At 35.8% G+C, this 18,625-nt stretch overlaps 1 protein-coding gene across 3 annotated transcripts in view, besides 2 other annotated features; it reads right to left on the reverse strand.

Annotated features, from left to right (window-relative positions):
- Positions 1-18,625, reverse strand: part of SEMA3A (semaphorin 3A) — a 536,949-nt gene that overhangs the window by 185,538 nt on the left and 332,786 nt on the right. The window lies entirely within an intron of this gene.
- Positions 8,637-9,161: an enhancer, noted in NCBI's record as "NANOG-H3K27ac hESC enhancer chr7:83779267-83779791 (GRCh37/hg19 assembly coordinates)". NCBI's record gives its function as "activates a minimal SCP1, AML or CMV promoter by ChIP-STARR-seq in primed H9 embryonic stem cells {active_cell/tissue: H9 hESC(primed)}" and the evidence as "EXISTENCE:reporter gene assay evidence [ECO:0000049][PMID:30033119]".
- Positions 9,162-9,685: an enhancer, noted in NCBI's record as "OCT4-NANOG-H3K27ac hESC enhancer chr7:83779792-83780315 (GRCh37/hg19 assembly coordinates)". NCBI's record gives its function as "activates a minimal SCP1, AML or CMV promoter by ChIP-STARR-seq in naive H9 embryonic stem cells {active_cell/tissue: H9 hESC(naive)}" and the evidence as "EXISTENCE:reporter gene assay evidence [ECO:0000049][PMID:30033119]".

Genomic DNA, 18,625 nt, shown 5'->3' on the forward strand with positions numbered 1-18,625 from the left:
AGCAGTCTATGAAACACAGCTCTACCACCTTTTCCTAGGACATGTTTCCAAGCTCTTCTTCCAACTTGTCCCTTTGTATTTGTTGATGTTCTGTACTCTAATGTCTCTATCCATGAATTTATGCCAGGATTCTCCCCTACCAGATGCTTATTTTTAGTTAATATGAATAATTGTTTTTACTTGTATAGACTTTTCTTTGTATTTTAAGTTCAGGCTACATGTGTAGCATGTGCAGGTTTGTTACATAGGTAAACGTATGTCATGGGGGTTGGTTGTACAGATTATTTCATCACCCACGTATTAAACCTAGTACCTATTAGTTACATATCTTGCTTCTCCCCTTCCTCCCACCCTCCACCCTCCAGTAAGCCTCTCTGTGTGTGGTTGTTGTTCCCCTCTATGTATTGTTCCCCTCTATGTGTCCATGTGTTCTCATCATTTAGCTCGCACTTATAACTGAGAACATGCAGTATTTGGTTTTCTGTTCCTGCATTAGTTTGCTAAGGATAATGCCCTCCAACTCCATCCATGTCCCTGCAAAGGACATGGTCTCAATTTTTATGGCTGCATAGTATTCCATGATGTATATGTACCGAATCAAAGAACAAGATGCATGTACTTGAGCTTTGGACAACTCGTAAAAGTTCATTCTCAGCCCAAGCCCAGCTCCCATACTTCTAGACCCCACACAAGACACAAGTGTCCTAGGCCATGTTATCAGGGAGAGACACTATATTTTTCCTCAAATATGCTTATAAAGCTTCAAAGGCAGAACTATCTGTTATATGAATTTATTTTTCATTTTGTGTAATGTGAAAAGTATTTATGTAAAGTAAGTTGTTCATAATCTAATTTTATGATTCAGATTGTTATCACTTAACGGTCATTCACCTACTAAGTCAACAAAAACACATTTAGTCCATATTATGTATAACACGTAGACCTTGGCTAAAAACTATGTGGAGTATTAAGAATAATAAAAACCTTCATGGAAAAGTAGACAAATACCTTTAGAGAAGCAAAACCTAAATCTGTAACAGCAACAACAAAAAAAGGCTAACTATAGTTAAGGAAGTTAATAGGAGTTCATTCCCATTTTTTTCTCATGAGGAAATTGACTCAGATAGGCTATCAGGAATATCCTAGGTCACAGAGCTAGTATGATGTAGAGTTAAGATAACTATTTCCATCTGACATCAAAGGTCTGGGTCTTTCTGCTTTTCTCCGTAAACACTTCTAAGGAGGGTATATTTTGGAAAATACTAAGAACTGATTTTGGAAAAGTTTGTTACCTCTCACTCTCATATAATTTGCTTTAGCTAACAGCTCTTGCATATTTATATTATTTTATTTGCTCTGTACTTGGTGTTTTTACACAGTAATAACTTGGTGGCTAATCTTATCTACAACTATGGCTTTCACCACTAGCAGTATTTTGACAAGTCTCAAATATATATCTTCCAAGAGATATTTCCCTCCAAAGTCCAAACAAAGACTTACTAGAAACCTCTATTTACATATTGTACAAACATCTCAGAGTCCGCATGACTTAAACAGAATTCACTCCTTTTTCTTCTTTCCATTACTGACGTCATCAACTTTCTGTGTGTTTTAAGTTTGTTGTAAGTATCAATCATTACAGACCCATGCAAGCCAGACCCTTCTTCATCATTCACTAATCTGATCCATCGCTACAGTTTTGCTTAACACAATAATTTGCCCTGTATTTTCTTTTGCTTACATACTCACTGCCACTGTCCTAATTTAACTCCCCATAATGTCTTTCCTGGATTACAGTAATCATCTTCTTACAGAACTTCCTTTCCAGGTTTACACCAACAAACCATGTTATATACTGCCCCCAGAGTAAACTTTCTACAAAACACATGCACTTTCTACTGGTGAAAGATGACAGAGTAAAACCATGTGTACTCTATCCCCTTCCTTTGATTTTCATGAAAAGAAAAAAAGATGAAAAGTATAAGAGGAAAATATACATATTAAATGAAGAAGTAACACCAAAGCAATATCAAATTATTAAGGAAATATTTCAAATATAGTGAAACTTGAAACATTTTGATATAAAATGCTGAGATCTGGCATGTCTCTCCATATATTTCAAGTAGGATAGAATTAATAAGCAAAGGGTTAACAAATCATAGAGATTGCATCCATAGATGCTTTTATTACAGAAACAAGCTCTAGGAGTCTACACGACTGTAAGATTATTGGAACATGTCCATAAAGAGTGGAGGTGCAGACTGAACACAGTGGCTCAAGCCTGTAATCCCAGCACTTTTGGAGGCCAAGGTAGGAGGATTGCTTGAGACCAGGAGTTCCAGACCAGCCTCTGCAACATAGCAAGATCCCATCTCTACTTAAAAAAAAAAAGTTGCTGTGCGTGCTTCAGGCTGAGCAGGGAGGATGTTTTGAGCCCAGGAATTCAAGTTTGCTGTGAGCTATGATTACAGTGTGAGACCCTGTCAAAAAAAAAAAGAAAAGAAAAAGAAAAAGTAGAGGTATAGGTAAAGCATAAAGCCATGGTCATCATCATTATTATCATCATTTCAACTAACATGGGCAAGCCAAGCTAGGTACTGTCCTAATCTCTCTCTCTCTCTCTCTCTCTCTCTCTAACACACACACACACACACACACACACACACACACACACACACACAATTTATTGTGTATGCATTATCCTTCTTCTAAAGGATATCACTGTAGGTAAATTAGTATGAGGGCAGAAGTGAAAGGTATGAATACCAGACTATCCCACAGGGTGTTTCTGATGGGGCTTCATGAGAAACACACCAATCACACCAGTCAAGATATGAAAAAATAATAATAATAATAATAAATAAAGTGAGGTGTGTTCACAGAAGAAAATATATTAAAGATCACAGAGTGTGCTTAAAGTCAAAACAACAAAAATCATAGGCTGCAAATTCCTCCAGCTCATTTCCTCATTGTCAGAAGGAGGAAATAAGTTCACTAAAATGTAAATGAAGAGCATAGGAAAGAAGAGGAGTTGGCACAAGAAATAGAGGCTTAATTCTGGTTGCAAAAGTTACAAACTAAGTAATAATAAAATCTAATTTTTTGAAAGAGATGAATTCATTAATATGATAATAGAAATGAAAGATAAGGAAATAAAACATAAAAATAGATTGAATCTACAGATCGAAAAGTCTCTTACAGAAGTAATAATTAATAGAACTTATTAAATAAAGAATACATTTGGAATTTATGTGGAAAATTGAGTCACGTACAAGGGAAGATATCAGGTGGGCCTCATACTTGTTCAAAACAGCATTATTTGCCCCCAAACAGAAAAGCAATTCACACAAATAAGCAAGTGAAAACATCTGTGACTCAGCAATTTGTCTTTCAAATGAGAGAGGCATCTCCAGTCATTCTCAAACAAGTGAATTTTAAGGAAATAGAGCAGACATTCAAGAAACTATAACAATAACAACTTCTTAATAATGAAATTCATTCAAACAAGGCGTGAATCAAAATCAAAAGAGAACAGATATTACATCACTTGCCTCCTTAAAACCTGGCTAGAGATTTTCATTATCTATGAGATTTGGGCTCTTTATATTTTACACACTCATTTGTTTTCTCCTTCACCAATAGAGTGTGCATAAGTGTATATGCATGTGTGTTTACCCCTAAATACAGCAATATATAAATATGTATTTTATTTACATACACACACAAGAATATTTCCAATTAGCTCGATGACATGCCATCTATAGTCTCACAGATTAGAATGCTCTTTATCTCCCCAATGCTTTCCATCTTCCACCCTCACCTGCTTAGGTAAATTTATTCACCTTTCAAGACCCAAGTCAGCCTTCTCCTGTGAATTCTTGACCTTCTAAGGGACAATGCATCATGCTTTCTTTTATGAAGCATAGTGCCCTGTACATACATAGATTAATCACTGCTTTATCTCCTTAGCTCCACTTCTAGAGTTAAAATATGCTGTCTTTACTTATTTTTGTATGTCTAGCCCTAGAACCTACTCCTGGCGTATACCTACTACTGACACACAGAAGCAAGTGACTCAAATGTAATTTGAACCACATTATTTTTTTAATGCAACAAAAATTTAGAAAAAGTAAATATAAAAATATCTAAGAAAAAGCAAATGTAGCAATATAAATTTTATGTCAGGATATACATTAGCTTTGCTAATTAAGTTATAAATTATGTTCAAATGACTATTAAAATTATACCATTTAAACCTTAAATTATTTATAAACTGGCTATCAAATAACAATTAAATGGCTAATATTTTTTCATTCTATGTGCTCAGCACTGTTATGGTTGTTTTACATACAATAATCACATGAATAAATTTCTTGAGAGTTCTGTTTTGCCAGCAGCATTAAACACAAAATCTACTGAAACAGTGAAGTAACTTGTTCTTTATATTTAATTTCTCTCAATTTTGGTATACCCTTCAAGTCACTGACATATAAATTAATGAGAAGACCTTTCAAAAATGTAATGCTTTTATTAAAACAAAGCACAGACCTACACCCACCACCTTTACCTTAGTACTGTCTCACTAACAGCAGTTTGCAGTCCCTAATCTTGTTTTGCTATCTCATTTTATGCCTGTTTCTGTAAGTTTCCACAATTTACTCTTTTCTAAACCCGGCTTGCTGCCTCCTGCTTCTAGTTGATTTTCCCTTTTCTTGTGCTTCAAGCTACAGTTAGAAGCTATCTCTCCCATCAAAGACTTGAGAATTAGCAGACATCTATCCTTCGATGGATGCCTCACTGTGCTTTCATTATAACACACAGTCATAAATTAATTGCATGCCACTTTTCTGCATGAGTATTAGAGTACACACATTAGTTCTCTTAGATGTAAAGGTTAGCACAATGCCATATGGGTCAAATTATACGTGGAGGAAATGGTTAACTAGATAATCAATCATTAAATTAAAGATCTAGAGGGATCTTTAGACTGTCTGAAGTCTGACTACTTGCATTTAGAAAAGAGCATACATGACTTCGCCATTAACAGTTGCAGAGGTCAGATTTAAATATAGGTCTCCTGGCTCCACATTCGATGCTCTTTCTAAATAACTTTCTGGAAAAATTGTGACTTTAATATTTCTCCACATTTTTTTGCTCTCTGGTCCCTGATATTGATAGTAGCCTTTTGCACAAGAATATAGGCAAAAAATAAAAGTTGCAAACAATTTACAAAATAACTAATGAGCAATATTAATTTTTACTTCTTGAGGGAATAACTAGAGTTTAAATGTAATGACTGCATAAAACAAGTAAATGTCATAATGTGGACAAAAATGGATAATTCAAACGTGCATTGCTATCGGTCACTCGTTTTTGTGTGAGATGATTAGTCAGTAAAAATTTAGAATTAAAGTGTAGATTCTTCTTTTAAAATTCCCATTGGTTTTATTTAATGCTTTGAGTGATGGGCTAGTAATCTAGAAATTAAAACTTTGTTTTTGATTCTGCCTTATGTTTTAATTATTTATGAGACTCCTCTATAGGCAGGTCTCTGTTATCAGTCAGTCCACTGATAAGTGCTCATTAAATACCTATGAGCGGTAAGCATTGTATTATCATTAGCAAAATGAAAAAGAGGAGGCTTCTCTGTTTCATACAGTTGAAATATTAATTTTTCAGGCAGTCTTGCTCAATTATTTACTGTAACACAGCACATGTTTCAGAGTGTTCTTCAAATAACCATATTTCACATGGCTACAAGAAAGCACGTGTTTTTTAAAAAAAGAAAGCACATGTTTTCTGACATTTACAAATTATATATACTACATTTTCCAGTAACAAAACAGTGGAAAATATTCACATATGGAGAAATAAATAGTGATAAACCACTTTGTCACCCACTACCTGTTGCATATGTCTACTATGAGGCATTTTTAAAACTACTTAAGAATGATTTATTTAAATTGTTCTAATGCTGAGCAAAATGAGTGCTTTTGGAGAAAGAAAAGTAGTATTTTATCCAAGATATTTCTATCACTTCCATCCCAAGATACATTTTGGGGAGGAAAAAAGTCTTCCTTATTCATTGACAAAAACTGATCTGTATGAGTGCAAACATACTAGAGAACATATTCCTATCAGTGTTCATGGGTGTCCCTTTTTTATGTGAGGCAAGCATATATTTCATTCCCAGAGTGAGAAGAAAGAGAGCTCAGGAGATCACTTAGACATACTCAAGGATCAATCAAGTAAGCAGATCAGAGAGACAGGCTTGTGTGGCTGGCGGCAGAAATTACCTAAACCCTAGATTTGTCTGACAACAGGTGCTCAGTAAGTACTTACTGAATGAATGAGTAAATGAATTACTGAATAGTTGGATAAAGTAGATATGTTTATGAATGTGCAATAGTGCATATGGGTTAGATAGCTCATAATTTATCATGCTGCTCTTACTAGCTTTACTCTCTTCATTCTTTACAACATGCCTGGTGCTATAAGCAAATGCAATTTAAATTTGTCATTTTAAAAAATAGTTGTTTACCTCAGAGGTTATTTTTTTCTCTTTTTCTTACTCTCACTCTCTCTCTTTTTTCCTTCCTTCCTTTTTGTTTTTGAGACAGTGTCTCACTCTGTCACCCAGGCCGGAGTGCAGTAGCATGATCTTGGCTCACTGCAACCTCTGCCTCCTGGGTTCAAGGGATTCTCATGCCTCGGCCTCCTGAGTAGCTGGTATTACAGGCATGAGCCACCATGCCTGGTTAATTTTTGTATTTTTTTTTTAGTAGCGACGGGGTTTTGCCATGTTGGCCAGGCTGGTCTCGAACCCCTGACCTCAGGTTATCCACTCACCTTGGCCTCCCAAAGTGCTGGGATTACAGGCATGAGGCACCATGCCCTGGCTCCTTTTTTCTTTTCTTTTCTTTTTCTTTTTTTTTAAAAGAGGCTTGTAGAGAACATTGATATGGCATTCCTAGCTATGTCCTGCACCTTTATCTAGAATAAATACATTTTGATTATAAAGGCTTCCCCATAAAAGGATTTTGTTTGAATCAGAGCTCCGTGCGGAAGGATGGAAGGAGATGGGAGAGCAATGATGTTGAAAACTAACGAATTCAAAGAATTTCTAATGAACAGCATACAACGTAGTCCGGGTACATTGTAATCTTAGTCACAATAATGTCCTATTTATGATAGCACACTATAAATCTGTCTTCCCCAATAGTGTGCTTTAATTTTGGAGTGGACACATTTTGGAGTTTATGAAGTCAGATACCCTAATGACATTTGTACATAACAATTCATTGATATATTATAACTTTTCTAAGTTGATCCTTGAACAACATGGGTTTAAACTGTGTGCCTCCACTTATATTTGTATTTTCTTCTACCTCTGCCACCCCTAACACAGCAAGATGAATCCCTCCTCTTCCTGATCCTCCTCCAGCTACTCGACAAGAAGCCGCTAAGATGAAAGATCTTTGTGATGATCCACTTCCACTTGAAGAGTAAATATTTTTTCTTCCTAATAACTTTCTTAATAGTGTTTTCCTTTCTCTAGCTTACTTCATTAGAAGAATATAGTGTATATAGTACATAGAACATACAAAATATGTGTTAATTGACTGTGTTATGGTAAGGTTTCTGGTCAACAGAAGGCTGTTAGTAGTTAAGTTTTTGGATAGTCAAAAGTTATATGTGGATTTTTGACTGCACAAAGGGTTGATTCTTCCAACCCCACCTTGTTCAAGAGTTAACTGTATATACAAATAAAAACAAGGAAAAATTGGATTATCATGTAGATAAGTTGGACAAGATTAAGTTCTCCTATATCCAGCTCTCCCCAAGTAATTATTTAGCAAAAACTATCTGAAAGTATTAATTCTAGAATTTATTTTGATGGCACAGAAAAAATAAATAGCAACTTAAGGATTTTATCTTAATTGGCAAATGAGAAAAGATTAAATTCTTCCATTTTGTTTCCAAATAGTTTCTTGCTATTAATGTAATTGTCTACAATTGGGTCATATTTAGAAATGTTCTAAGATTGAAGTTAAATATTATGTGAGCCAGGTTTGGTTTAAGACCCTTAAGGACAACTCATGATTCCCTTGAATGAAGCTAAAATTCCAGCTTGTTTGTTGAAAATCCCTGCTCTCCCAGGACCCATTAAATCAAGCACACCTCTGGGTTGGAAAGGACAATAGACTAAAGATTTTCTAGACCAATGCAGGACACACAACATTAATCCTCACAATGTCAAACGTCAAATTCAGAACAAGATTTACCTCTTATAGATTGGGCAAAAATATAGCATAAGCTAATTTCTCATTAAACTTACTTCTCTACTTCATCACAAAACGTGATTGTGTACCACTGACAAAGGCAAAACAAAAACAAAACACTACTAACAATGTTAAAATTACAAGTCATAAACATTGTTTAGAGTGAAATATGATCCCTATTTAATCCCTGCTGGCCACAACATTCATTGAAAATGAGACACTAGCATTAGTTTGAAGGCAGAGAATAACAAGGGTAAAATTTGCCTTTCCACATGAAAGAAAGGGAAGTGTTATTGCTATTAAATTTTAATAAACCTTCGTGGCAGTTCAATGTGAGCAACCAGAAGAGTCATGTAACATTACTAAGGTTGCTGATTTCTTAATTCTTTCATTTTCCTGATATTTATTTTGCATGTAAAGAGTTTAAAAATGAGTATCTTTGTCAATCACATCTTTGTAACAATATTGTCATTAATCAGTTTTGGATTGAATAGTTGAAAGTAGTTTTATGTATTTAAAATTGAAACATTATTTGAGGGTAACTGGTAGGAATTATTTTTTAACTTTACCCTCAAATTAATAAATTGTTACGAAAATAATTACCTATGTACATCTGCCTCATGAAATTGCTGTAGAAGCTGAGATTATGGCGAACAGGAACAGCTCCAGTCTACAGCTCCCAGCGTGAGCGACGCAGAAGACGGGTGATTTCTGCATTTCCATCTGAGGTACCGGGTTCATCTCACTGGGGAGTGCCAGACAGTGGGCGCAGGTCAGTGGGTGCGCACACTGTGCGCGAGCCGAAGCAGGGCGAGGCATTGCCTCACTCGGGAAGCGCAAGGGGTCCGGGAGTTCCCTTTCCTAATCAAAGAAAGGGGTGACGGACGGCACCTGGAGAATCGGGTCACTCCCACCCGAATACTGTGCTTTTCCGACGGGCTTAAAAAACGGCGCATCACGAGATTATATCCCGCACCTGGCTCAGAGGGTCCTACCCTATGGAGTCTCGCTGATTGCTAGCACAGCAGTCTGAGATCAAACTGCAAGGCGGCAGTGAGGATGGGGGAGGGGCGCCCGCCATTGCCCAGGCTTGATTAGGTAAACAAAGCAGCTGGGAAGCTGGAACTGGGTGGAGCCCACCACAGCTCAAGGAGGCCTGCCTGCCTCTGTAGGCTCCACCTCTGGGGGCAGGGCACAGACAAACAAAAAGACAGCAGTAACCTCTGCAGACTTAAATGGCCCTGTCTGACAGCTTTGAAGAGAGCAGTGGTTCTCCCAGCACGCAGCTGGAGATCTGAGAACGGGCAGACTGCCTCCTCAAGTGGGTCCCTGACCCCTGACCCCTGAGCAGCCTAACTGGGAGGCACCCCCCAGCAGGGGCACACTGACACCTCACACTGCAGGGTACTCCAACAGACCTGCAGCTGAGGGTCCTTTCTGTTAGAAGGAAAACTAACAAACAGAAAGGACATCCACACCAAAAACCCATCTGTACATCACCATCATCAAAGACCAAAAGTAGATAAAACCACAAAGATGGGGAAAAAACAGAACAGAAAAACTGGAAACTCTAAAAATCAGAGCGCCTCTCCTCCTCCAAAGGAACGCAGCTCCTCACCAGCAACGGAACTAAGCTGGATGGAGAATGACTTTGACGAGCTGAGAGAAGAAGGCTTCAGACGATCAAATTACTCTGAGCTACGGGAGGACATTCAAACCAAAGGCAAAGAAATTGAAAACTTTGAAAAAAATTTAGAAGAATGTATAACTAGAATAACCAATACAGAGAAGTGCTTAAAGGAGCTGATGGAGCTGAAAACCAAGGCTCGAGAACTACATGAAGAATGCAGAAGCCTCAGGAGCCGATGCGATCAACTGGAAGAAAGGGTATCAGCGATGGAAGATGAAATGAATGAAATGAAGCGAGAAGGGAAGTTTAGAGAAAAAAGAATAAAAAGAAATGAGCAAAGCCTCCAAGAAATATGGGACTATGTGAAGAGACCAAATCTACGTCTGATTGGTGTACCTGAAAGTGATGGGGAGAATGGAACCAAGTTGGAAAACACTCTGCAGGCAACAAAAGACAAAATTGACAAATGGGATCTCATTAAACTAAAGAGCTTCTGCACAGCAAAAGAAACTACCATCAGAGTGAACAGGCAACCTACAAAATGGGAGAAAATTTTCGCAACCTACTCATCTGACAAAGGGCTAATATCCAGAATGTACAACGAACTCAAACAAATTTACAAGAAAAAAACAACCCCATCAAAAAGTGGGCAAAGGACATGAACAGACACTTCTCAAAAGGAGACATTTATGCAGCCAAAAAACACATGAAAAAATGCTCACCATCACTGGCCATCAGAGAAATGCAAATCAAAACCACAATGAGATACCATCTCACACCAGTTAGAATGGCAATCATTAAAAAGTCAGGAAACAACAGGTGCTGGAGAGGATGTGGAGAAATAGGAACACTTTTACACTGTTGGTGGGACTGTAAACTAGTTCAACCATAGTGGAAGTCAGTGTGGCGATTCCTCAGGGATCTAGAACTAGAAATACCATTTGACCCAGCCATCCCATTACTGGGTATATACCCAAAGGACAATAAATCATGCTGCTATAAAGACACATGCACACGTATGTTTATTGCGGCATTATTCACAATAGCAAAGACTTGGAACCAACCCAAATGTCCAACAATGATAGACTGGATTAAGAAAATGTGGCACATATACACCATGGAATACTATGCAGCCATAAAAAATGATGAGTTCACGTCCTTTGTAGGGACATGGATGAAATTGGAAATCATCATTCTCAGTAAACTGTCGCAAGAACAAAAAACCAAACACCGCGTATTCTCACTCATAGGTGGGAATTGAACAATGAGATCACATGGACACAGGAAGGGGAACATCACACTCTGGGAACTGTTGTGGGGTGGGGGGAGGGGGGAGGGATAGCATTGGGAGATATACCTAATGCTAGATGACGAGTTAGTGGGTGCAGCACACCAGCATGGCACATGTATACGTATGTAACTAACCTGCACAATGTGCACATGTACCCTAAAACTTAAAGTATAATAATAAAAAATAAATAAATAAAAAAGAAGAAGCTGAGATTATGTACTTGGCTGTGTCTCTAAGTGGCAATATATTTTCATAAAATTTCCAAGATTTTAAAAATGTATTTTATTTTTATATTTCCTGTAAGAGAATTATGTAAAGCAGGCATTTGTTTTTATTAGCTTAAATGCTATTGCATTTAAACGTAAAAAAGTTGTAAAAACTAGCAGAATTGTAAAATTGAGAAAAAATTCTAGCTTTTCCCAATTATAACTGTTATTTTATCATTTCTAAGTACTCAAGGTGGAAAAATGACTTCCACTTAAAAATACTTCTACTTTTTAAAAAATCAAGAAATTAGTTTAAAAGTTCATAGCTGAGTTTGTTTGATGATCTTAATGACTTTCACCTCATTTAGTAAATCAGAATCTAAAAAATGCTACACTCTCCTTTTGATAAGCTCTGGAGTTTATCAGCCCTGCTTTGCCACTTCATTAGCTGTCAAGAACCAGTAAGTGATATTGCTATGAAAGTCTTGATTCAGGTAGTTGAAAATGCTCTTGTTGCAAAAGTACCAATTATCAACAGACTTGAAATTAAAAGAGGGTCTATCAGGAGAGGCCTGTCATCCACATACATACAGTTGGTTATCATCTTTGTAGACATCAAAGAAAGAGGGAGCATTTGAACTATCAGTAGTTCACTTATAACATTCAGAGGAAAGGATGCACACTGATTTAATATACACTGCAGCAGAGTTATTACTGACCTTAGAAATCTTACCTTATGATCATGTGATGGCAAGTAAATGAGAATAAAAGGTGAATTTTTTCCCCCAAAGGAAACAGCGTAAAATATGAAAAGATGCATGTTTTAATCTCTATGTTTAAGTAGTTTCTTAAATTTAGCCTTACACTATTTTATGGTGAATCTTTCCTTAAATGTATTTTTGTTATTTAAACAACTCTGCCATGAATTTCCCCTTTAATATAGATATACCATTTGAGGTCAAAAATGTTACTTTAATAAAATTTACTTTTAATTATAAAGACTTTTATTTCCACTCTTGCTTCTATTACACTTCTCTACAGTTAAGCATAATATTAAACAAGAAAAGCGTGTTGATATAAAATCTTGAATAGTTCAAATAAAAGTTAAAAATATTTCCTATTTACATAACACTATTTGCATATTAAGAACAATTCACCCGTTTCTTTGCTTGAAGAAAGCAAACTTACATATTAATGAATGAATCCTTTATGGAGACGTTCCATAAAACACTAGTTCCTTTTGATGTTCAATGGAATAAAGGGTTCCATGAGAAAATGAATTCAGGAGAACACTACATATTTCGTTATATTAATTTCAAATAAATATATTAAATATTTTGGGAGGTCTAGCTGTCAAGACATTTTCTTATAGAAATCTTATTAAACCAAATGTCTCTCAACTTTGTATGAGATAGAACCATTTTTTAATATATAGTGCAACTTAATTTTCAAGGAATATTTAGAAAGATACTGTAATATTAATAATAAACCTTGATTATTAAAAATACAATACAACTTATGAGTAAAGCTGGGATGCCAAAATATTTGGGGGAAAATAGTTTGGTGGAAATTGGTTAAAAATAATAGACATTTCTTAGGCTAATTATTTTGAAAAGTCAATACAGATAAGTTTCTTTCTTTAAGGTAAATAGAACATAAAGACAGGTGATGACGCCGGGTACGATGGCTCACGCCTGTAATCCCAGCAATTTGGAAGGCCCAGGCAAGTGGATCACAAGGTCAGGAGTTCGAGACCAGCCTGACTAACATGTTGAAACCCCGTCTCTACTAAAAATACAAAAATTAGCCGGGCATGGTGGTGGGCGCCTGTAATCCCAGCTACTCAGGAGGGTGAGGCAGAAGAATCGCTTGAACCTGGGAGGTGGAGGTTGCAGTGAGCCAAGATCGCGCCACTGCACTCCAGCCTGGGCGACAGAGCAAGACTTAGTCTCAGGGAAAAAAAAAAACAAAAAAAAAAAACAAAAAAAAGACAGATGATGACATTAGTGCAATAAATATTTTAGATCTGTTTCAGATGAATTTATTAATTCATATTGTCTAAATAAGAAATCTGGATGGTTTCCTAGAATTTCAGTCATATGCCTAGAATTGAAAAAAAATAGAACATGTCACTTTATACTTGCTATAAGTTTTAAGAGACAATATTTTTAGAAAATATATTTATATCAATATATTTTTGGTCAAGCCTTTCTGTTATTGGTTTATTTCGAGGCCAATTATATTTTCATGCTGAAGCAGCATGTCTAAAGTGCTTGGGTCCAAATGTCCACCTCTCTTTGAGAGCTGTGGAATCCTTAAAATGACAGTAGCTAATTTAATTCCATTTGTGTGCAAGATATTGCATTTTACAAAAGCAGCTGTTTTTCATGGACTAAGTCGAGGTTTTCTCCTCAGGATATGAACCAGTGACCTTATACTTCCAACTCAAGACCTATCTATCAGCACTCTTCCCCGTGAAGATTTTCATGACGCAGGATTCTGCCTATGATTGAATCAGCATATCCAGGACCACATAAAATAGTGTCTCTTTTAATTAGGCTCAAATGTGCACATCTCACATTGAATTTTCATATTTTTAAAAATTACTCCAACTCTCTGGGAGAGTTGTCGTCTATTTTAGCTTTCATCAAACTCTATACTTTACTAGTCCACCGCTTCCACATTTTGAGATGTCAGTGTGCTTTGGGCAGGTATGCTTCCTTCTTCCCAAACAACTTGGCAAAATCATTTGACCTCAGATAGGCCATCTTTTCCACTTTAGGAATTTCTGTTCGTTGGATTATAAATTGTGTCAACTTTTGCCAAACATTGCCTTAAGTGGTTACCAAATGCAGTGTTCTTGGCTTGCATTACTTGTTTCTGCTTTACACTCATTATCTTAATCTAATCATGTAGGAGAGGATAAGGAAGATTAAAGTCAAAATGTTTTCTTACTCTAACTTTTCCAGTAAAACAGAATTTAAAGTATGTATTCCATTTGCTGGTAAGAGCTGCTGAGATTTTTTTAAAGTTATGTTAATAATTTTTTCCTTGTATTTATATCAAAGTAATATAATTTTCAGATTCAAACATATTTAGTTTAACTGTAGGGTAAAAGAAGATTCAGAAAGCTCAGTTTTTGCTCAGAATATTTTATTTAACCCTATGATAGATTTATGACAGACCTAATGGCAAGATACTGTGTCTTTCTCTGACTCTGTTTGACCACATATAAAATACCTGTCTCTAAATATTTTTCAAGCAAACTTTATAAAGTATGATGTAATGTCTGAATATCTTTAAAGCCCTTTTTCTGAGTTAAAATGATTCCAATTTTTTAAAGTTTCTATACAGCTTTTTATAATTAGGATTTTGTAAATTATAACAAGTCATATTTTGTTTTTGCCTTTTTCATATCATCCTTTAAAATCAAAGGTTACTGGTGTTTACGTGACACATCAGAAAAAAAGAAAGAAATTATGGTGTTTATACTTTCTTACTTCTTAGGGTGTGTATCTGACTAAAGTATAGCATTTTTTGCTTATGGCTATGACAACAACTTGTTTATTTAGACTCAGTCAAATTTGAAGTCTCCACTGGTGTACCTTATATGACAAAAGTAATCTTTCAAATATTATCCATGACAGTTAATCATGAACCTCTGAAAGTGTGACATTTTGTAAATGTTATTGTTAGAGCTATGATAGCATTCTCAACTTGCTAGCATTTCCAATATAATCTATTAGAAAAAATGATTTAGATTATTGTTTCATAATTGAGTAGGCCCCAGAAATTATTGTTTTCTCACTTCCTTTAATATTCACTGACTGGATTCTGTATGAAGAAATTATTTGTAAAATATACATTCCGATTCTACGTATGTGGCATGTTTCTGTGGGAAAGTTTGTATGCATGCGAGTCTGTATACAGTGAAGATACACATGTCAAAAAGACATGAAATGTATGTGGGAAGACTATGTTTTTTTACCAGCTGTGTGTTTTAGCCATACGATTTTTTTCTCTATATATTTATTTGAACGAAAGTCAAAGTCCTCTAGCCTGACCCATAAAATGTTAATCCTTTCAGGAACATTTCAATTTCTTTTGTTAAAGGAACTCTGTATAACATTATCAATCCCAGAGCTGGTTTTACAATGTATTATTATCAAATTCTTACTTGTGACTAACCATTTCACCTGCAATATCATGGCCATGCTTGAAATGTCTATTATTCATGCCAGCACTGATTTAAAATACATGTATAGAATTTGTTTTGTCTTTAAATTCCTGAAAAATTGGCAATCAGCAATGTAATTTTCAACCTTGGTATATTTTGATCAAGTGATTAAATGCTCTATGCAATTTTCACATTATCTGGAATATATGCACGAGTAAAAATGCACTCTTTTAAATGGCAGTAAAAGAAATACTGATTATTAACATGCCTTTGTGTATTAAAGTCTGCTAATTTTCCTTCACACTGGTACTTCTGCTTTTCCAAACTTCTCATAACAATACAATGTGTGTGTTTACATGCAACAATGCAGGTATAACTACTAGCTTTAAACCATTTTTCCATGCTGTAAAATGACTACATCCTTTGAAATACCATACTTCATTGTTGAGAGATGAATAACATCTGTAGGCATCTCAAAAGCCTTGAGTTCACAGTCTTTTGAGTACTAATTTGAGAATTCACACGCACGGTTTTGTTGTTATCGTTGATGACCACAACACTGTTTAAAATCTCTTAATGTTAAGGGGACGCTGGAGAGCAGATCTGCTGGGAAAACATTAAAAGGTGGGTGTTGTGTTCTTATCTACTTTGTTTGCATATGAAAATAGTGCTGGAGCATACGGCTAGTTCAAGCGATTTTAATATTCTGACTAAGGTATCTTCAACATTTTAACTATGAGGGAATTGATAGAAAACCAGTCGTTGTAATTATCCAAATTTGGAAAGTCATTGTTAACTCCATCCTTAGAATACATCTCAATCTTACACACATCTTTCACTTGCCACCACTACTGCCCTAGTTGAAGACACTCTTCTTTTCTCCTTGGACTCATGCAACAGAATTCTAAATGGGCCTCGTGATTTGACTACAGCACTCAATGTATTCCACTCAGAACTATCAGGCGTATACATAGGTCATATCATACAATTCCCTTGCGCAAACTTCGTACCATGTTTCCCTTTACATGTGGGATAGAAATCACAACATTTAAATGTTCCTCAAGTCCCTGCCATAATAGAGCCAGTATCTAATTAATTCCTCCATCTTTCCTTACACTTAGAGATAAGTTTCTTTTCTGTCGTAGGTCTTTAGCTGATGCTATAACTTGGGTCTGGAATCTTCCAATCCTCTATACCTTTTCTTCCCTTTGCTACATTGAAGCTTATGCTTAATTTAACAGCTAATTCTTTTTTTTTTTTTTTTTTTTTTTTGAGATGGAGTCTCACTCTGTTGCCCAGGCTGGAGTGCAGTGGCGTGATCTCGGCTCACTGCAACCTCCGCCTCCCAGGTTCAAGTGATTCTCCCACCTCAGCCTCCTGAGTATCTGTGACTACAGGCGCACACCACCACACCGGGCTAATTTTTGTATTGTTAATAGTGACGGGTTTCACCATATTGGCCAGGCTGGTCTTGAACTCCTGACCTCGTGATCCACCTGCCTCGGCCTCCCAAAGTGCTGGGATTATAGGCGTGAGCCACCACACCTGGCCAACAGTTACTTCTTTATTGATGCCTTACTTGATGTGACAACAAAAAATAAACCTCCCTGTTAGATTTTCTTATGAGGGCTTATTTGCTTCAGAGCATTTATCATAGGATGAAACTCTATATACGTACTTTTCCCATAATTTTGTGCACTGCCCCTCTTCCCAACTAGATGATAAGTGTCATTTGGGTAGTGCCATGTATGTTTGTGCTTCCTTGCACAGCCTGTACCTAACACAGTGCCTGGCACACTGTCAGTGCTCAGAAGAAATTAATTAAATGAAATTTGGATTAAAAATTATTGAGAAAATTTTATTGCTAATAATTCTTACATTGACACTTGCAAATTGTTGTGATGCCTTGAATTTTAATTTCTTTCTAGAATTTTTATCATTAAAATATCCACAAGATAATAGCAAAGAAAATTTGTAGATTTTCTTTAAAAAATAATGCATATTAGTTTCTGTAGATGACAAGCATTTCCTGAATTTATATAATAGGTCACAGCTCAGCCCTAAATTAAATTTTACAGACCATGTTTTAAAGCTGGCATCTACGAAAGTAGTAGGCAATTAAAAATAAAAAAAAAAACCTTCATGTTACTTGCTGGCCCTGATAAATTCATGACTTCACATTATCATTAACTCAGAAGGTTTAACGTTTTTCATTTTTTTTTAAAGAAAGGGACTGCATATTCTGTCCACCTTCCCCTCTTTGTAGAAACTCAGAACTATCTGCCACTGTACATAGTACATAGTGAACAGCCACTTTAAATTGTTTACCAAGGTCTTAAAGGTAAAATATTCATAAAATTATTATTCACATTTTAGTGCTTAATACAATTATGGTGATACTAAAAGATTGTTTCTACATCTACAGAGGCATTTCATTCTAACTGTTACATCTTGCAAGAACAGCAATTTAAAAAAAAATCTTTTTCCGTACCTTTTTATTTTTAAGTAATTTAAAAGAAGTAGAGTGATGTTTTTGGAAGCACTGATCTTTACAAATGTATTTCTCTCCAGGAAATATTACACATAAATCCTGTCAAATAGCTAAACAAGTTAGATGCAAAACTCCTACATAAAGCTCTGTCATTCTACCCTTGACTTACTTCCAAGAGAGCTAACATAGTAATTGTGGGGGAAATAAAATTAGAACACCACCTCTTCATACCAGTAGAGAAAAGCTTTCCAACATTAAGGCAATTTGCAGTTGGTGAAGCATGCTACTTAATGATACTATAATTCAATCACAGAATAAACCATAAAAAAAAATAGTTAGACCCTTAGCTCTTGATGCAGTCTCAGGATTAATGCTTCTTATAATTTGAGGACTGGAAAGATCCAATTTTGCCATTAGTTTTAGAAAATGACTTATATGCTAACTGGATGTGAACAATTGTGTTCTAATGAGCTTAATATGAGTTTCATAATTTGTGCATTTTGCTGTTAAAAAGCCAGAAAACAAAACAAAACAAAATACTGAAACCA

The sequence above is a fragment of the Homo sapiens genome, chromosome 7, assembly GCF_000001405.40.
Source record: "Homo sapiens chromosome 7, GRCh38.p14 Primary Assembly".
NCBI lineage: Eukaryota > Metazoa > Chordata > Mammalia > Primates > Hominidae > Homo > Homo sapiens.